Source organism: Homo sapiens, chromosome 19, assembly GCF_000001405.40.
Source record: "Homo sapiens chromosome 19, GRCh38.p14 Primary Assembly".
Taxonomy (NCBI): Eukaryota; Metazoa; Chordata; class Mammalia; order Primates; family Hominidae; genus Homo; species Homo sapiens.
Genome location: NC_000019.10, coordinates 33,243,845 through 33,264,018, shown reverse-complemented (window position 1 = coordinate 33,264,018; position 20,174 = coordinate 33,243,845). Strand labels below are relative to the sequence as shown.

Genomic DNA, 20,174 nt, shown 5'->3' with positions numbered 1-20,174 from the left:
TCCAGCCTGGGCGACAGAGCAAGACTCCATCTCAAAAAAATAAAATAAAATAAAATAATAATAATAATATGGCCACTCTGTTGGCTAAGAGCCTGGATGAGGCCAGAGCTGCCATCCCATGAAGAGAGATGGTGGCTGGGGACGTGGGGCGGCAGGGGAAGACGTGGACAGGTGCGGGCATGCAGAGGCAATGGAAGGGTGACAGGCAAGGCCTGGCGACGGCTCAGGTGTCAAGGGCCAGGAGGTGTACATGCTGTGTGTGCACACGTGTGCACGTGAGCCTGTACAAACGCCTGCCAGGAGCTCAGGCCAGGCCCTCTCTCCTCTCCCTCTCCCCTCTCCAATCTCTTGCCCGTGTCCCCCACAGCCTCGCCGCGGACATGACAGTGACGGTAAGAAGGACTCAGTGTTGCAACTGCATTTCCTCTCGAACCCAGGGCCGCCAGAGATTAGCTGAGAGCCCCGTGTGCACTGGGCGATAACACCCCCACCACTCCCCCCGCTTCCTAATCTCTGATTCATTTCCAACTGATAACAGCATGAGGGCCCATGGGCGACGAAGAAACACCCCAGTGGGTCCTACCAAGGCCACTGTCAAGCCACGTGCAGGGACTCCGGGGAGCAGAGACAGGGAGGGCGAAGACCAGGGGTGATTGCAGAGGCAGAGACAGAGAGAGGAAGAAAGAGAATGAGAAGAGAGAGAGAAAATGAAAATGGGGAGAGAATGAGAGAGGGGGAGAAAGAGAGGGAGGGGAGGGCAGCGGGAATGGTCGACGGGTGCAAAAATATGGTTAGGTAGAATGACTAAGATCCAGGATTGATGCATGCAGGCCTTAATACCCAGGTGATGGGTTGATCTGTGCAGCAAACCACCATGGCACGCGTTGACCTATGTAACAAATCTGCACGTCCTGCACATGTATCCCAGAACTTAAAATAATTTTTTTAAAAAAAAGATTCAGTATTTAATAGCACAACAGGGTGATGACAGTCACCAAGAATTTACTGTACATTTAAAAATAATTAAAAGAGCATGATGAGAATGTTTGTAACACAGAGAAAAGATAAATGCTTGAGGGACGGAGACCCCATTAACCCTGATGGATCATGACACATTGCATGCCTGTATTAAAGTATGTCATGTACCCCGTAGATATATGCACCTGCTATGGACCCATACAAATAAAATAAAAAGAAAGAGGAAAGGAAAGAGAATGAAAATGAGAGACAGACAGAGAGAGAGTGAGGATAAGGGGGAGATGGAGACAGGCGGAGAGAGACAGAGAGACACAAACCCCCCAGGTCAGGGCAGGGTGACGAGGAAGAGAGAGGAAACAAGGACAGTGGTGGAGGGACAGACTGACAAATGTGTGCAGATACAGAGAGGGGCTGGGGGGTCCTGGGGGCTAGAAGGACTTACTAAAGTGATAGAGAAACAGAAAAACAGGCCAGGCACAGTGGCTCATGCCTGTAATCCCAGCACTTTGGGAGGCTGAGGCAGGCAGATTACTTGAGGTCAGGAGTTCAAGACCAGCCTGGTCAACATGGCAAAACCCCATCTCTACTAAAAATACAAAATTAGCCAGGCGTGGTGGCGCACACCTGTAATCCCAGCTACTCGGGAGGCTGAGGCAGGAGAATCGCTTGAGCCCAAGAGGTGGAGGTTGCAGTGAGCCAAGATCGTGCCACTGCACTCCAGCCTGGGCAACAGAGTGAGATTTTGTCTCAAAATAAGAAACAGAAAAACAGAGAGAAGGGACTGAGTGAGAGCAAGAAAGGGAAGAGGTGACCCAAGGTCAGGAGACAGAGGGAGTGAAAAGGAGAGAGCAAGACGGTGAGTGGTGGGGTGCGAGGCTGGATGGGCCCTCCCTGGCCCTGCCCATACTGCCTAGACACCATGGGTTAGGGCAGGACAATGATTTTACTGGCTCGACCCCTGCCAGGTACAGGCCTCAGCTGGGGCAGGGTGGCAGGGACAGCACACACCCCTGACCAGTCCAGAGAGCCCCAACCCTCAGGTGGGGCAGGCAGGGCTGTGGGCTGCACAGAGCTGAGCGGGGCGGATGGAGCCATGCTCCTTGTCCATGGACTCGGCCAGAGCCAAGGAGACAGAGCAACCCATCGGGTCTATGTGGATCCTGACGGGGTCTGGCAGGGCTGGACAGTCAAGGTTCGGGGGTCTGGGCTCAACCCCAGGGCTGTGATGGCGTGGCAGCCATCTGTGCTTTCCCAGAGCAGGCAGGAAGTGCCTGCAGGGAGCTGGAACCGCAGTGCTGGTGCTCAGGGCTGGGACAGGAGGGAGCCGGTTTCCCTCCACTCCCCTCCCCAACCGAGCACTCCCCTGGGTTCACAGTCTGGGTCATGTGGTGATGCTGAGAGTTTAGTGGAAGAGGAAATGGGAGCTCCAGGAACTACAGAGGCCCGGCCACCTCCCTTGCTCCTAAGCCCCTGCACCAGATCCCCCCTAAGTATAGAAGAGGGGTACAGACAGCTGCCCACCAGAGGGGCGCCAGGGCCTGGGAAGGATCTCACAGGCTCCTGGGCTCAGGCCTTCCTTTGGGGATGAAGAGGGTTCCCAGAGCAGCCAAGCCAGGGGCTCCGGGCTTAGCAGAGGGGAAGGGGCAGGGGGTGCCCCCTCCACCGACCCCAGTGCTCAGAGCTGGTGGGAGAAGGGGGCCCTATGCAGAGGGAACTTGACGAGCAGGTGCCAGAGAAGCAGAGGCTGAGGAGCAAATCACGAAGCCCAGGGGGACTTCACTCTGAGTGCAGAGAGGAGCCCAGGGGCACTCCCAAGCAGGGGAGCTTCAGTGCTGTTGGTGTTCTAGTATGTTCCTCCATCCCCCCCAGGCCTTCAGCCCAATGCATGAAGGCTGGCAGCACATGGGGCCCAGCCAGGGACCCCAGCTCCTTGCCCCTCCAAGCTAGGGCAGTCACCCCTCTGATTTGCCGTGCCCGCCCTGATGCCCTGCCTGCCGCGACCACAGGAAGCACTGCCCCAGCTCAGCACTTCCCTTTTCTGAAATCTGCCCCCAGCAGCCCGGTGGCCAGGGAAGACAGACTTCCCGCTGCCCCCCCGGGCTCTTCCCACCGGTCACAAGTGGTTTGTTCCTGAGCTTCCCTGGGCAGAGGTGACCTTCTTGCCTCAACCACAGATCAGTTATTTATCAGAACAGGAAAGATGGCACCAGAGATATGTCCTCACCGCCCCCAGGAGGGCCTGGCCTGCTCCAACGACCACACGCCCGTTCCCCACATCATACGGGGCCTGCTCACCACATCACACAGGCGTGCGTGTGGCTGGCGCGTGTGTGCAGGGCTGCACCAGGGAGGGGCCGGGTGGGAGGCCTCGTGGGCAGATCGGGTGGGATGTGGGATGCACCCTGGCTCGTGGGCTCAGATGAGGCTCCCTGTGCCAGCCGGGAGCAGTCAGGATATCTGGCGTCCTCCAGATCTGATGAAAGACATCCTTCCTCCAGTCCCAGCCTCAGCTCCAAGCTTCCCCACAGGGAATACCCTGGGATAGGGCCTTAGCCAGCTTCTCTATCCCTCTACCCAGAGCGGACAGAGGGCTCACCCCCTCGGGATTCAGGACTCACTGTGGGTGTTTGGGGTTGGATACTTCTGTGTTGTTAGGGCCATTCCGTGCATTATAAGATATTTAGCTGCATCTCTGGCCTATATCCACTAGACACCAGGAACAATTTTCCCATCACCACCACCAATTGCAATGATCAAAAATGTCTCCAGGGCACGGTGGTTCATGCTTGTAATCTTAGCACTTTGGGAGGCAGAGACGGGAGGATCTCTTGAGCCCAGGAGTTCGAGACCAGCCTGGGCAACATAGCAAGACCCCTCTCTCTTCAAAAAATATAAGTATTAGCCAGGTATGGCGGGGCACACCTGGAGTTCCAGCTACTCAAGAGGCTGAGGCAGGAGGATCGCTTAAGCCCAGGAGGTTCAGGCTGCAGTGAGCTAGGATCATACCACTGCACTCCAGCGTGGGTGACATAGTGAGACCCCTTCTCTTAAAAGAAATGTCTGCAGACATGTCAAATGTCTCCTGAGAGTACAAGACTATCCTAGGTCAAGAATCAGTGATCCAGGTGCACCAAAAGACCCTGGCTTCCATGACTAAAAAGTTCTAGGTCTCAGTTGGCCTGCGTCACAATTTTTTTTTTTGCTAGAAAGCTATGGACTAAGTTGACTAATGAGTCAGAGCCTGGAGTTCTTGGGAGGTGGAGGCTGTGCCCGTCTGCAGGATCTGTGCTGTAGGGCCTGCTCTGGGGCTCTGAGCACAACTGCCTTGCAGAGCCTGGAGCCGGAAAGAGCACCCTTGTGACCGGAAGGGAGATGGTGAAACTGGGAGGTTTTATTCAAGAGCAGATCCAGGAGCTGTATCATGGAACGTAAGTGAGGCACCTTGGAGCCACAAGGCCCAGGGTTGGGGGCTTAGGCTAGAAAGAACGGGAAAAACTTCAGAATCAGGGCAGAACACAGGGCCAGGATATGAGTCCTGGACTCCCCGAGGTGGCGAGCTGGAACCGACCCCCTTCAATAAACTGCAGGGCTGGAAGGGCTGCTCTGTACAAAAGGGATGTGTAAAGCTGATCCGAAAAAAGTAGTAGCAAGGCCAACGTAGTGGCTCATGCCTGTAATCCCAGCACTCTGGGAGGCTGAGGCAGGTGGATCATTTGAGGTCAGGAGTTCAAGACCAGCCTGGGCAACATGGCAAAACCCCATCTCTACAAAAAATACAAAAATTAGCTGGGAGTGGTGGCACATACCTGTAGTCCCAGCTACTCAGGAGACAGAGGTGGAAGGATCTTGCTTGAGCTTGGGAGGTGGAGGTTGCCATGAGCCAAGATCACATCACTGCACTCCAGCCTGGACAACAGAGCAACACTCAATCTCAAAAAAAAATAATAAAAAATTAAAAAAAAGAAGTGCTAGTGAAGCTTTCTATCCTCCTGAGGCAATGGCAGGAAAAAGTTAAGTGTGGATTCAAATGTACACAGTCCAATAGTTCTAAAACTCCAAATCCAGAAATTAACATAAAAATGTATATACAGCCATGGCTGGGTGTAGTAGCTCACACCCATAATCCCAGCACTTTAGGAGGCCGTGGTAGGCAGATCATGAGGTCAGGAGTTCAAGGCCAGCCTGGTCAACGTGGTGAAACCCTGTCTCTACTAAAAATACAAAAATTAGCCGTGCGTGGTGGCACACACCTGTGGTCCCAGCTACTTGGGAGGCTGAGGCAGAAGAATCGCTTGAACACGGGAGGTGGAGGTTGCAGTGAGCAGAGATGGCACCACTGCACTCCACCCTGGGGGACAGAGCGAGACTCCATCTCAAAAAAAAAGAAAAATGTATATACAGCCATGAAAGAAACTTACTTCCAAGCTACTTTGCATGGACACTTTCACAGCCCAGACACAGATCCACAGGAAAATTAACCCCGATGAAGATGAGCTCACAATAAAAAGTAATCATGAATGACGCAAAAAAGCAAGCAACTATGTCAGTGGGAGATCTTAGATCTAGAGATATTAGAACAATTTGTAAAAGACTACATAATAATAAGTATACTTACATAATAAGTATACTTACATAATAATAAGTATACTTAAAATAATTAAGATAGAAAAGAGAGTGGAAGACATAATAAAAATATTATTTTAAAATAACAAGTAGATTTCAAAAGAAATCAAAGAGTCCTTCAAAAAATACTCATTGCAGTATAATATAGAAGCTCAGCGAATATAGCAAATTAGTTGCAGCTCAAAGGGGAATAAGAAAAATATAAAGCATATCTGAGGAAATTTCATGACATGCAGCACACAGATATGAAAACAAGGAATATATGAGAGTCTAAGATTCTTGGAGATATGAATGAGAAGGGCCAAGAAGGGCTAACACACATATAATAGGAATTGCAGAAGGTGAAAACTGGAAAACCTCAAAACCTAATTAATAGTTGAGAAATTTCCAGAACTAGGGAATGAAGTCCTCACATTGAAGATGCACACTGAGTCCTAAGAAGGATAAATTAAGAACAAACACACCACAGTAAAACTAAAGACCACTGACAATTAGCCAGGCGTGGTGGCGCACACCTGTTGTCCCAGCTACTTTGGAGGCTGAGGTGGGAGGATCTCTTGAGCCCAGGAGGTGGAGGCTGCAGTGAGCTATGATTGTGCCACTGCACTCCAGCCTGGGTGACAGAGCAAGACCTTGTCAATACATAAATAAGCAAACAAATAAATAAATAAGTAATTTTTAAAAAGCATTAAAGACAAAAATACTACCTTGAAAGTACCAGGAGGAAATGCATACTACAAAGGAATGCATACTACAAAGGAATTTGCCTCACAATAGACATGTCAGCTCAGCAACTGGTCAGAAGACTAGTGGGTAACACCTTCTAGGTGCAAAGGAAAAATTTCCACCAAGAATCCTATGTAGCCAGGCACTGTGGCTCACGCCTATAATCCCAGCACTTTGAAAGGCCAAGGCAGGTGGATCACCTGAGGTCAGGAGTTCCAGACCAGCCTGACCAACATGGTGAAACCTTGTCTCTACTAAAAATACAAAAATTAGCTGGGCGTGGTGGTAGACGCCTGTAATCCCAGTTACTGGGGAGGCTGAGGCAGGAGAATCTCTTGAACCTGGGGGATGGAGGTTGCAGTGAGCCAAGATCACACCGTTGCACTCCAGCCTGGGCGACAGAGCGAGACTTCGTCTCAAAAAAAAAAAAAAAAAAAAAAAGAATCCTTTGCGATGCTTGCAGATGCTTTCTTTTGGAAAAAACCAAAAAGAATACTATCTGTACCTAAACTACACAGTTTATACAGAAATAAAGAATTGAGGCTGGGCAAGGTGGCTCATGCCTATAATCCCAGCAAGTTGGAAAGCTGAGATGGGAGGATAACTTGAGGTCAGGAGTTCGAGACCAACCTGGGCAACATAGGGAGACCCTGCCTCTACAAAAACATGTTTAAAAAAAAAAAAAAAGAATTGGGATACAAAGACATGTGCTTGAAGCAGAGTGTGCAGTGAGAAGACTGGGGTCTTTACAAAAAGTCATGGGTGGTGAGACAGATGTCAAGGTGTGTTCATCTGGGCTTTTGGAGGATGGCTTCGCTTTGGATGGACACTTCAGATAGGAAAGTGCTGAAGGCCAAGGTCAGACTCTGAGCTACGTTCCTGAGAAGAATGAGATAAAGTAGCAAGAGAGTCCCAGCCAGCCAGCCCTGTGTCTGCTCCCGGCAAGGTGGTGAGAGTGTGTCAGAGGCTGCGAGGGACCCCTTTAGCCTTGGACCCGCTCTGGCTTGACACAGCCACGCTGTCCCTGCATCTCTGCCTGGGCCGTCGCCTGCCCTCAGGGCTTCTTTCCAGGGCTTCCCCGGCCTCCTCACCCACTGCAACTTCTCTCCTCTATGCCAGCTCAGATTGTTTTCCTCTGGGCCTCTATATTCCCTTCCCCTCTGAAACACCCACCCCTGGCTCAGTGGAAACTCGTCAGTGCTTTCCACCCAAGCCTCCCATGGCTCACTTTCCCTGGGGAGAGTGCCAGAAAGGGTGGATTTCTCAGTCCTCAGAGGCTGTTAACAGGCTTGGCTGCATCCAGTCAGGGCAGGCTGCAATGGGTCCTGAGAGCTGGCGTGCCTCCCACTGCCCCAGGACCACCCTCCATGCCTCACACAGAGGGTCAGAAGGCCCTGTGGGTCGGCCTGGGGCACAGCGGGGAATGAGTGAGCCATCTGCTACGGTCGTGTCAAGCTGCCATCAGTGCCTGTATTCCCCCGGCCCGTCCTCCCAGGAAAAGTCACAGGCCTCCATCTATTGGTCCGTGGCAGCAGGAACCCTCCACACACTTCAAGATCCAGGGCATCCTCCGTTGACCGGAGCTAGACAGAACCCAACCCCACTCAGATCCGGGGCAAAATTCAGGTCATCTGCATGGTGGGGGTGGCTGCATCTGAGAACCACATCATCTGGTCCCTGTCTGTTCCTGAAATACACCAAACCCATTCCCGCCACAGGGCCTTGGCACTGGTGGCTCCCTCTGCCTGGTACACTCTTCCCCTTCTAGACTCTTGGTCAGCTCCTTCTTGTCCTTTACATCTTCGCTGAAGTATCACCCCACCCCACCCCCACCAGGGATCCTTTTCCTGACCTCCTTACCTACAGTCTTCACCCTTACAGTCACTCACTCACTCATCACGCTGATTTATGTCTCTTGTGGCCTTTATTAAAAGCTAAACTGGCCAGATGTAGAGGCTCATGCTTATAATTGCAGTGCTTTGGGAGGCCAGGGTGGGAGAATCACTTGAGGCCAGGAGTTCAAAACCAGCCTAGGCAACACAGCAAGACACTGTCTCTAAAAAAAAAAAGTAAAATGAAATGGTAGCTGGATATAGGGTGCACACCTGTAGTCCCAGCTACTTGGGAGGCTGAGGCAGGAGGCTCGTTTGAGCCCAGGAGGTTGAGGCTGCAGTGAACTGTGATTGTAGCACTGCACTCCAGCCTGGGTGACAAAGTGAGACCCTGTAACCAAAAAAAGCTGCAATAGATACCAGAGCTAACGCCAGCCTCCGGTGCCCCTGATGCCAAGCCCTGCCCCACTCTGGTGACCCCTCCCCACAGAGCTCCCTGGCCTCATTTTCCCGCTTCTCCCTGCACCAGACCTTGGATGGCTGGGCCTCACTCTCCTCACACTTTGATCCTGGGCTCAGATAGACCCAAGTTCAAGTCTCAATACCACTCGTTCCTGGCCATGGACCCTGGGCAGGTCACCTCTTCTCCCTGGGCCTTGCCTTCCTCTTCTGCAACACAGGCTTGCCTTGCAGAGGTCCTGGGAAGATGAGCTGGAATAACGAACTCACGCTTTCAGGACGTGCTGGCTTCTAGCAGTTGCCCCAGCAGGGCTGAGGGCTGGGGCTGCAGTGGACAGACCTGCGACCTCGGGCAGTCAAGGTCTTCTCCAGCCCAGCAAGCTGTGTTTGAGGGTGGGGACATTCAGCAGAGTCTGGGGGCAATGACAGGGATGGAAACCCAGAGCCTGGCCCCCATGCCTCTGCCCTTTCCCTCTTAGGGCCTCAGTTTCCCCATCTGTGAAATGGAGCACTCAACACCTGTTTGGCGTGGTGGCTGCATCCTGCGGTGTCTGGGGAGGTGTGAGCAGTCAGCATAAAGGGGCTGCTATCTACATCCCCTTATGGGGTTAGAGAAGGAGTCCCCTGTGCTGGGGAGCTGGGAGCCACAGCCCCAAGCTAGGAATGGGGAGGACTCCAGGCCCTGGTCTGGCCTTGTCCTCACACCAAGGACTGTGGGTACTGACTGGGCTGAGCCTTGGTGCCCTGTCTTCAGCATTGCGACTGCAGAAGAAGGGGCTGGGCTGAGCTGCACGTGACCTGCAGAATTTGGCTCGGCCCAACCCTGAGCCCAGCCTCTCTCTACCAGCACAGACTAACTGTTTTGGGGCCTGGCCACTCCCTCACACCAACGGCTCCTGCTGCTCCCCACGGCCCCCACCCCGCTGCCTGTGGGAGCTTGGGCTCCTGAGTCTCCCTTTACCAGGCTCGCTGCGCAGATCCTCCACAGTGGGGGTCTGCAGGGTTCTCGTGGGGGCCGAGGTCAGGGAACAGAGGTGGAGACCTTGTGCAAGGGAGAGTGGGGCTCTGGAGTCAGACACACGTGCTTCTGGCTGTAGATGTATCCAGGTGAGAAGGCCGCGTGGGGAGAGGGGACAGGGCCACAGGCTGCATGGCACCCTTGGCTAGAAGTGCCTCTCACGGAGGGTGCCCAGCCCCGGCCTGATTCCTCTTCCCACATGGGGAAGCTGGCTCTCCTGGACCCCTCTCCCAGCCACCGCTGCTGGCCAGGGAGGAGTGAGAACACAAAGATAGCATTGGGCTAGACTGCAATAGTAGCCATGACAGTAGCTAGCACAGACGGAGCACCTGCTATCTACCCAACACTGTTCCAGGCCCCTTGCATACGAACCGATGTCACTGCTGTATGGTGTGTGCACAAACACGATCCCCATTAGGTGCAGACAATGAAAGGGGGACACAGGCGGGCTCTCAGGGCTGCTGGGACCAGACGAGCTGGGAATCAAAGTCAGGTCATCGGCCTCCAGGGCCAGCCCCCTACCCACCCCACAGGGAGGCGCAGCGGCCAGGGAGTGCCTGAAGAGGGATGGCGGGCTTCAGAGCTGCGGGGAGGGACTCCTGCCAGCCTGGGCTTCAGTGAGCCCCCAGTTCTCAGTGGATGAACAGGACTAGACAGGAGATCTACAATCTTCCAGTCTTCCAGGGAGTGTGCTATGCGCTGGTGGGATGGCCGCCCCTCACCCAGATGTTTGGGGCACCCTAGAGAGACAGGACAGCCATGGGACCTGCAGGCTAGGGAGGGGTGGGTGGGGCTGACTCTGTTGATGTCTCGGGGGTAGGACAGAGGGAGGAATATCCAGGACCGCTTGGCTGAGGCAGGGGCCAGGAACGGAGGGGGGTGGTGACAGAAGTCGGCAGCATGGAGGTGGCAAAAACCCCGAGTGTCAGGCCTTATCCTGGGTTCTTGGGAGCCAAGAAGGGCTCTGGAGCCAGGCAAGTGCAGGTCAAAGCTCTGTGCCCCACACGAAGGGTAGGCAGAGGCGGTGGGTAGCTTGGCAGTCAGCCTGGGGGCAGCAGGGACCCTGGAGAGCCAGCCTGGCCCGTTCCCAGCAGGTGTCTGCACCGTGGTCCTTGGGGTCCACCCCAGGGCAGGGTGGGGGGGTCCCGCTGGAAAAACCTGTGATGTTTCCCAGAGACTGGGCACCGGGTTCCCGGAAGCCGCTGCTGGGTGACTAAGGCCCTTCCCAGAGGCAGCCGCCCCCACAGCCAAGAAGAATGGCTGGCACCCACCAGGCACTGGGGGCCACTTCCCATTTTCAACCCATCCTGGCCATGAGTGTGACTCCTGCCCAGACAGCCCAGCCCACTGTCCTCTAGAAGGATCAGAGCCAAGGGTTGGGGACTGTGGCCTGCAGCTGACCAGAAGGAGGGCCAGGGTTCAAAAGGAACCAACTATGGGCACTGTGCCCTCACCCTCAATACCTGCCAAGGCTGCATCCTCCCCTAGACCCTGTGCTGGGCAGGGGAAGCCTCTCAGGAATCTGGGCGCCTTTGCTGTCTTTATCCAGGTCATTACTCTAAAGACCTAGTGGCCACTACCACTGCCAATGCCAACCTTCTTCTGCCAGTAAAGCCCAGTAGGCAATGATTGGCACTGGCAGTTGTGAGTCTGAATGGGCAGTGATGCCCAGTCAGGAGTGCTGGCCACTAGGCCAGGTGTGGTGGCTCATGCCTGTAATCCCACTGCCTTGGGAGGCCGAGGTGGGAGGATCACTGGAGGCCAGGAGTTCGAGACCAACCTGGGCAACATAGCAAGACCCCATCTCTACAAAAAATAAAAAATTAGCTGGGGACATGGTGGCACGTGCCTGTAACCCCAGCTACTGGGGAGGCACTTGAGCCCAGGAGTTTGAGTCTGCAGTGAGCTGTGGTGGCACCACTGCTCTCCAGGCTGTGACAGAGTGAGACTCCCATCTCTAAAAAGTAATAATAATAATTAACAAAGAGTTGGCCAGGTGCGGTGGCTCACGCCTGTAATCCCAGCACTTTGGGAGGCCGAGGTAGGTAGATCACCTGAGGTCAGGAGTTCAAGACCAGCCTGGCCAACATGGCGAAACTCCGTCTCTACTAAAATACAAAACTTAGCTGGGCATGGTGGCAGGCGCCTGTAGTCCCAAGCTACTCAGGAGGCTGAGGCAGGAGAATTGCTTGAACCTGGGAGGGGAGGTTGCAGTGAGCCGAGATCGTGCCACTGCACTCCAGCCTGGGTGACAGAGCGAGACTCTGTCTAAAATAATAATAATAATTAAAAAAGAGTGATGGTGAATGACAGTGGTGACCTTGGTGAGCAGGGACGCCCCTAGGCAGCGACTGCCCTGCTCTGCCCAGGAGGGCAGGGCATCCACCCTAAAAATGCCTCAGGAGATGGAGCCCAGCACCTGCGCATTTGCAAGCCTGTTCCTGCCGTTCTGGGCCACCTCCCGGGAGGGAGGACAGCACTGGGGCTTCAGAACCCCACTGCCTAATCTCTGCAGCCTCAGGGAAGAGCCCCACCGGACTAGGGAGAAGCGGCTCCTTCCAGGACCGTGCCCCACCCCCTCCAATCCCATCACAAGTAGCCCAGGAGTATTCATATCTTCACGTCTTCATGGCGCCTTGGGCACTTTGCAGAGGAAGAATCCGGCTGGAGTGGTGGAATGTCACACGGAGGCAGCAGGTCAGAGGTCCCCGGCGCCCTGATGGCCAAGATGGGGCTTCTGCCCTGACCAGCTCAGAGTCAGAGAACTGGGTCTGGCCTGGACGAAGAGCCTGGGGAAGGCGTCTCCATGGCCTGGAGCAGATGGTGGGTCTTGGCCCAGGCCAGGGCAGCCCCGATGGGCCAGGCCCCACACGGTGTGGGGGCCCCTTCATCTGAACTCCCTCATTCCAATCCAGGACATCAGTGAGGTGGGGCCCGCAGGCCACCCTAGGCCAGCGTGAGGGGAATATGGAGAGTCAAAGACGAGGGCCCCCTTCGTGCCCACCCAGACCCCAGAGGGTGCAGAGGGGGACTTGGCTCTAGAGGGGGCAGGAGGTTCCTCAGGGCAGCCCCAAGGAGGTGACAAGCCCCATGCTGGAGGCTTCAGGGGGCCGGCATCCAGCTCCCCGTCCATGAAGCCACCGCAGCCCTGCCCCCCGGGAATCCCCTGGAAGTGCTCGTTTGCCCTGCACATCTCCTAGGGCAAAGGGAGGGGCACCCAGCCCAGGAAGCCTGCCTGGAGCTCCAGCCTTGGCCAGCGGGGGCTGACGGGGCTGAGGGGTGGGGGAGGGGACGCATGGCTGAGGACCCTTGCAGGGTGGCTGACTGCGAGTCTATGTGGGTTTGTGCAGCCAACGAGGAGGCATGGTCCGTGAGTATAGGTGGACAGGGTCAGGGTGGCGTGTGTGTCTGCCTGTGTGTGTCTGTGTGTGTGGTGTGTGTTTGCTTGGTGTGTCTATTGAGTGTGGTGTGTGTGTTTATCTCTGTCTGTGAGTGTGGTGTGTGTGTCTGTATCTGTGTGTGTGGTGTGAGTGTGGTGTCTGTGTGTGGGGTGTGGGTGTGTGGTGTGTATCAGTCTCTGTGTGTGGCCTGTGTCTATCTGTGTCTGTGTGGTGTCTGTGTGAGGTGTGTGTCTATGAGTGTAGTGTGTGTTTATATGTGTGTGTTGTGTGTATGTGTGGTGTGTTTGTGTGTTTGGTGTCTGTATGCTGTGTGTGTGTCTGATGTGTATCTGTGTGTCTGTGTGTGTCTATGTCTATGTGTATCTGTCTACATCTGTCTGTGTGTGCCTCTGTGTGTGGTATGTGTGGTGTGTGTATCTGTGTCTGTGTGTGTGGTGTGTGTGTCTGCGTCTGTGTATGGTATGTATGTGGTGTGTATCTGTGTATCTGTGTGTGTGGTGTGTGATGTATGCATGTGTGTCTGTGTCTGTGTATGGTATGTATGTGGTGTGTATCTGTGTATCTGTGTGTGTGGTGTGTGATGTATGCATGTGTGTCTATGTGTATCTGTCTATGCATGTCTGTGTGTGCCTCTGTGTGTGTGGTGTGTGTGTCTATGTCTGTGTGTGTCTATGTCTGTGTGTGTTGTGTGTCTGTGTGTGGTATGTATGTGGTGTGTATCTGTGTGTGTGTGGTGTGTGTTATGTATCTGTGTGTCTGTGTGATATGTGTGTGAGGTACATATCTGTGTGTCTATGTCTGGTGTGTGTGTGGTGTGTATTTGTGTGGTTTGTGTGGTGTTTGGTGTGTGTGTTGTGCATCTGTGTGTCTGTGTGATATATGTGTGAGGTGTGTATCTGTGTCTCTGTGTGTGGTGTGTGCGTGTGGTGTGTATCTATGTGTGTGTGTGTGGTGTATGTGTGAGGTGTGTATCTGTGTGTCTGTGTGTGGTGTGTGCATGTGGTGTGTATCTGTGTGTGTGTGAGATGTGTGTGTGAGGTGTGTATCTGTGTGTCTGTGTGTGGTGTGTGCGTGTGGTGTGTATCTATGTGTGTGTGTGGTGTGTGTGTGAGGTGTGTATCTGTGTGTCTGTGTGTGGTGTGTGCATGTGGTGTGTATCTGTGTGTGTGTGTGATGTGTGTGTGAGGTGTGTATCTGTGTGTCTGTGTGTGGTGTGTATCTGTGTGTATCTGTGCGTGTCTGTGTGTGCCTGTGTGTTGGAGCATGGGTCTTCAGGAGCCCCCATCTGGGGCGGGGGTGTGGTGTGTTGTGCACAGCCCAGACCCCCTAGGACAGAGCCCAGACCCCCCAGGGCACAGCGAGGGGGACTAGGAAGTCCTCTAGGGCTCGTGGGACTAGAAGGAGGCTGAGACCCCCGGGTGGCACCGGGCCCCAGCCCTCGTGGGTGCCGGGCAGCGCGGGCACACGTCAGGACCCAGCTCCACGCCCTCTGCTCCTCACCTCCTCCTTCCCTCCAGATGTTGCCCAACAGCTGCGGGCTGGCCGCCCGGGGCGCACTTCCCCTCTCTGGCCAGCCAGGCAGGGGTCCTGGGCACCGGGTCGGAGGAGCTGGGTGCAGACCCGCAGCCTCCTGGGCACCCGCACAGTGCACTCTTCCGGCAGGATTTTCCTGGCAGCGGCTGGAATGTCCAGCCCCAGCTCCCAATGCGGTTCCATCTCCTGGGTCACCTCTGTGAGTCACCTCCCCTCTCCGAGGCTCAGTTCCCCGTCAGTGGCATGGTTGTCACACAGGCCCGGGTGGGGTCATCAAGTGCAAGGCTGAGCCCAAGGTAGGCAGAGAGGCTCCTTGGGCGCCCCCCGCCTGCTGCTTCTCCCACCTCCTCCTCTGCACCAGGCCCCCCGTGGCTGCTGGCTTTTCCCACCTGACTGGCCCAGGTCTCAAGTGGAGAAGAAACCAAGGCTCCCAGAAAGCCCAGAGGACTGCTTAGGGGAGAAGGGACGGCCAAGGTCATACCCGAGGCCAGTGTGAAATGTAGCCTTAGAATGACGTGTTGCTCTGTAGGGGCCTCCTGGACAATCCCCACCCCTGACACACACCCAGTGACCTCAGGGCCGGCTGCCCACACCTCCACCTGGCCTGGACTCGTCCAAACAGTCCCCTACCTGGGTTGGTCCCTCCTGGCTCCTGAGAAGGCCCCCGTAAGCAGAGAGGCGGGGCCCGAGGGGCTCTGCAGTGCGTCAGCACTCTGCCCTGACCCAGCATACCCAGAGGTCAAGGTCGAGTCTGATGCAGTCAGGAGAAGCGAGGACCCTGGAGTCAGGCGCACTGGAGCACACATGCGTGGCTCTGCCTCTGACTACCTTCTCTCAGCCTCAGTTTCCAGCATAGTCTCCACTCCAAGCACCCCTCACCTGCCTGTCCCATTTTAGTGGGGGGCCCTGACCATCCTCCCTCCTCTCCCTCTCCTTCCTCCTCCTGCTCCTCTTCTTCCCCTCCTCCTGGGACAGGGAAGTGTCTCACTGCTGGAGTCTCTGAGCCACTGCCCCTTGTCCTACCGCAGACCCAGTTGGTGCCAGCACAGGACTGCTGGAACCCATGGCCTTCAGAATGCCCCATGGGGGAGTGGAGGTGGAGGCATCTCTTCCTAGGAGCAGGAGCAAGGGAAGGCGGGCCAGGAAAGGGCCACATGGTGAGCTGACCTGGACACCAGAGGGGCAGGTCCTGTTGTCCTGGCCGGATTTCCTGAAGGCAGGGTCCCTGGTCAGTGGTGTCTGCCAGGGAGCGCAGGACTCCCGAGGCTGTATCCCAGGGTGGTTCGGGATGTGGGGCTCCCAACAGCACCACTGGGGTCCACCACGGTTTCTGCGAGACAGTGGGCTAGACCCTTATCTGGGGCAGGATGGGTGGGCAGGACAGGGACCCTCCCAGCTGAGCTGCAAGGAACAGGGCTCAGGAAGCAATCTGTACAGGCCCCTTTGCATTCTCAGGTCAGGGCTGCAAGGCTGCTGGGTCCCAGATCGATCCGGAGGGCCCAGAGCAGAAAGGGGTGGGCACCTTTGTGGGCCTTGGAGAGAGGATGGGAAGCCATCCTCTTCGCTGCTGGCTCTTCACTCATGGCTGGAGCTCCCAGGGCCCCTGGGCTCCAGAAGGAATCCCCGAATCCTTCATCACAGCCTGCTTGGCATAGGTGGCACATCCCCCACTGCATCCATCCCCCCCCCAACAACACCAACCACTGTGGCCCTGAGTGTGGAGTGAAGGGAAGAGGCCGGGCTGGTGGGGACTGATGGCCTCACCCTCTCCCTGCCCCTAACAGCCCAGGCCAGAGCCAGGGTGTCAGCCCCTCACCCACCCCAGAGACTAGAGCAAGGGTTGGTGGAAAGACCAACAGGTTCAGGGGTCACTGTGTGTGGCCAGGTCAGAGGTCAAAGATTTGCTGACAGCAGTCTTGGAGGTATTGATCTGGTGGGGGAGGGGGCAGAACTGTGTCCCCTGCCAGGGACTGTGGGCATGGGCTGGTGGTTAGCAAGCTGGATTCAGCAGAACCCACCACAGCTGGCCTCCTGGGCTGAGGGGATGGGGGTGTCAGCTGAGGACCAGTTGTCATGCTGAAAATGAGCTCAGGGCCAGCCCCGGGCTGACACTCCAGGATGGCCAGGGGACAACAGGGATCAGGAGGCCTCTGAGGCTCTCACAGGGTCGAGATGACTGAGGAATGAGGGGTTCAGAAACCCCAGCCTGCCAGCAGGGACAGAAGCCAGGAGGGAGCATCTTCAAAAGGGCAGGAGGCTATGGCTGGGCTGGCTTCCTGTGGGGGGGGGTGCCGACTGCAGCAAGCCTGGAAGGCCTCTCCCAGGCTGACCTGCTTCAGGGATGACCCCGGGTCCCTTCAATGCCTGACAGTGACCACAGCACCCACCTCGGCCCTCTGCCCAGTTTGCTTCTATGGGATACAGGAACCATCCCAGTGCCCCCCACCCAGAAAGATGCAGCCAGGGAGTCCAGCAAAGGCGCCATCCCCTGCCTCTGCCCAGAGCAGCTCCTGGGGGTGGTAGGACATTCCTGCTGCCCCTTCCTCCTCCCATACACATATGCCAACCAGTCCAGACAGGGGAGAAGCCTGGCCCAGAAGGGAGGAGCTGCCAGGACTGGGGAGGCAGGGAAGAGGCCCCTCCCCCAGCTGATCTCACCCCAAACACATTGGATGCAAAGGCGTTTCTCCATTCCTGGAGCCTGCCTGGGGAGGCAGAGTGGGGAGTGTTTGTCTGTGTGAGTGTGTGCACATATGTGATTTGTGCACACATCCCTGTGCATTTGCACGTGTGTGCATTCATGCGCTTGTTAGTGCATGTGCTTGCATGTGCATGTTATTTGTGTGTGTGTTCCTTTGTGCATGGAGTACATGTGTGAACATGTGTTCATGCACATGTGTATTTGTGTGTGCCTGTGGACACGTGTGTGCACGTTTGCACATACTCACATGTGTTTGGCCCCAGGTCTGAGGCTGGGCTGGCCCCCTTCCAGGTGCTGACTGGAGAGACACTGCAGCTGTCCCTTGGAATGGCTTGGCCAGGACTTAGCCAGAAACTCTTACCAGTCCCCATGGTCCACACCCTGGCAGCTGTCCTGAAACTGAAGGCTTCTGATCAGCCCTAGCCAGCTGGCGGCGTGGCCAGAGGGCAGCTCTGTCCACTGGGGGGGCATGTAGTGGCGCCTGGCTCAGAGCAGACTCAAGCTTGAAGTCACTGGCACTGAGGCACAGACACAGGCACATGGGCCCACTTGGGCCTGGAGCCCTCCTTGATTACACCAGGGCCTGGCAGAGGCTTCCTCCTAGAAGTGACCCCTACTGGGGACATCAGGTACTGCAGACTGGCTCTACTAGCCATTGTCATAAAAATAGGCCTCAGAATGTGGTTCCTCCCTGCAATGAGGATATCTTGAGTTTAATCTGTGGTTTTCAAATTATGCTCCAAGAAATCCCTGGGGTTCCTTCAGGTCCCTTCAAGGGCTCCCAAAATTTGAGGCTCCCCACCTCTCACCTTAAAAAGAGCATTGAGCTTTTCGAATACATTTCTCTAAAAATGTTTTTCAATATCTAGGCTAGATTTTGACCTTTCAGCTCTAGGAGTCGCTTTATAAGTATGTCTCAATCAGATCTTTTTTTAGAATGATTAATTGGGCTCTAATGCATTACTGACCCCATCTTCTCCTAAAAGGCACACAAAATTAATTTAGGGAAACTGGATAAGCCAAAAGCAAGAGGAGGCTGGTCCTGGTGGCTTACACCTGTAATCCCAGCACTTTGGGAGGCTGAGGCAGGAGGATAGCTTGAGCCCAGGAGTTCGAGGCTGCAGCCAGCTGTGATCATGCCACTGCCCTCTAGCCTGGGTGACAGAGTGAGAACTTTTCTCAAAAATAAGTAAAAAGCAAGTAGAGATCCGCTTTAAATACCTCTTGAGAATCAGAAGAGGCAATTCAGAGAGACAGGGTCCATCTCAGAGCTGCGCAGCCTTGGGCTGGAGTAGATTTCATGCCCTCTAGTGAAGGGGCAGGTATGTGAGAGGCTCCCAGGGGAGGCCCTGCCTTGCCACTAGAAACTTGGCACGAGGGGACCCTGATAGCAGGACATCTTCACTCAGTAGTCCACTGACACCTCCCCCAGGGGAGGCAGGACAGTTGAGGCCTGTCTCTCCCCAAGGCATCACCTCTTCCCTGCGATGCAGTTTCCTTCATCCTCCTACATGTCCCCAGTGCCTCCATGTAACATGTGTGGCACAGCACATTGCCCACGTTTCACGCCTTGCAGTGTTTGCCTGAGGTGACTGAATGTGATTTGCTGCAGGTAAAACGCAGTTCCCAGGACCATCAAGCAGGAGCAGATGTGCTGTGGTCAGTGGCTCGGCCGTCTTGAGGCACACGACACCTTGCTTAGGCCTTGGCCTCTGCTGGAGATGGGTGGATGCTAAGGCCCAAATCCTGGTCCTACTGTGGCCAGATGAGGTCAGGAAGGATGGGGGAGCCTTGTCCTATTCAATCCCATTCATTCATTCAAGTATTTGTTGCTGTGTTTGCGGGCACTGTGCTAGGTGGTGTGGATGCCTTGGTAAACAAAACAGACCATTCAGCTTGCAGCCTAGTGTGGGTAGTGGGAGAGATGGGCCATAAAAATAAACAAGTAAAAGATCTAGAAGTTCACATGGTGGTCAGGGGAGAAGCAGGGCAAAGAGGATAGAAAATACCAAGGTGGTTGGCCGGGCGCAGTGACTCACACCTGTAATCCCAGCACTATTGGAGGCCAAGGTGGGAGGATCCTTTGAGGCCAGGAGTCCGAGTCCAGCCTGGGCAACATAGTGAGACCCTGTCTCTACAAAAAAGAAAAAAAAATCTTAAGAAATGTTAGTCAGCCATGGTGGTGCTCACCTGTGATCCTAGCTACTCAGGAGGCTGAGGCGGGAAGATTGCTTGAGCCCAGGAGTTTGAGACTGCAGTGAGCTCTGATGGCACCACTGCACTCCAGCCTGGATGAGAGAGTGAGACTTTCTCTAAAAAATAAAAAAGAAAGAAAGAGAGAAAGACAGAAAGAGAGAAACAGAGAAAAGAAAGAAAGAGAAGGAGGGAAGGAAGGAAGGAGAGAGAAAGAAAGAAAGAAAAGAAAGAGAGGAAAGAAAGAAAGAAAGAAAGAAAGAAAGAAAGAAAGAAAGAAAGAAAGAAAGAAAGAAAGAAAGAAAGAAAGAAAGAGAAAGAAAGAGAGAGAAAGAAAGAGGGAGGGAGGAAAAAAGAAAAGAAAAGGAAAGGAAAGAAAGTGCTGAGGTGGGGAATGTGCTTTTCAATGGAACGGGCAGAGAAAGCTTCCTGGGAAGGTGGCATTTGGCAGAGTCCTGCAGTGGGGTGAAGGGGTGAGGAGCTCTGAGGGTTTTGGGGAAAGGGCATTCCAGGCAGAGGTGCCACCAGCACAAAAGCCCTGGGGCAGGAGCGTCCCTACTTAAGGAGTAGTGTGGTGGTGCCAGCTGGGTGACAGGGAGAGTTGATGAGGTGAACGAGCTTCTGGGGCTGCGTGTAGGGTCACTGCTGTGGCAAGGTCTTTGGTTTTACTCTGGGGTGTGCAGATACTGCAAAGAGCTGAGCAGCAGAGG

At 54.8% G+C, this 20,174-nt stretch overlaps 4 annotated features.

Moving 5' to 3' along the window:
* Positions 11,906-12,788: an enhancer, noted in NCBI's record as "H3K4me1 hESC enhancer chr19:33742137-33743019 (GRCh37/hg19 assembly coordinates)". NCBI's record gives its function as "activates a minimal SCP1, AML or CMV promoter by ChIP-STARR-seq in naive H9 embryonic stem cells {active_cell/tissue: H9 hESC(naive)}" and the evidence as "EXISTENCE:reporter gene assay evidence [ECO:0000049][PMID:30033119]".
* Positions 12,789-13,672: an enhancer, noted in NCBI's record as "H3K4me1 hESC enhancer chr19:33741253-33742136 (GRCh37/hg19 assembly coordinates)". NCBI's record gives its function as "activates a minimal SCP1, AML or CMV promoter by ChIP-STARR-seq in naive H9 embryonic stem cells {active_cell/tissue: H9 hESC(naive)}" and the evidence as "EXISTENCE:reporter gene assay evidence [ECO:0000049][PMID:30033119]".
* Positions 14,436-14,485: a silencer, noted in NCBI's record as "silent region_10494". NCBI's record gives its function as "represses an Ori minimal core promoter by ATAC-STARR-seq in GM12878 lymphoblastoid cells {active_cell/tissue: GM12878}" and the evidence as "EXISTENCE:reporter gene assay evidence [ECO:0000049][PMID:35858748]".
* Positions 14,877-15,378: an enhancer, noted in NCBI's record as "H3K4me1 hESC enhancer chr19:33739547-33740048 (GRCh37/hg19 assembly coordinates)". NCBI's record gives its function as "activates a minimal SCP1, AML or CMV promoter by ChIP-STARR-seq in naive H9 embryonic stem cells {active_cell/tissue: H9 hESC(naive)}" and the evidence as "EXISTENCE:reporter gene assay evidence [ECO:0000049][PMID:30033119]".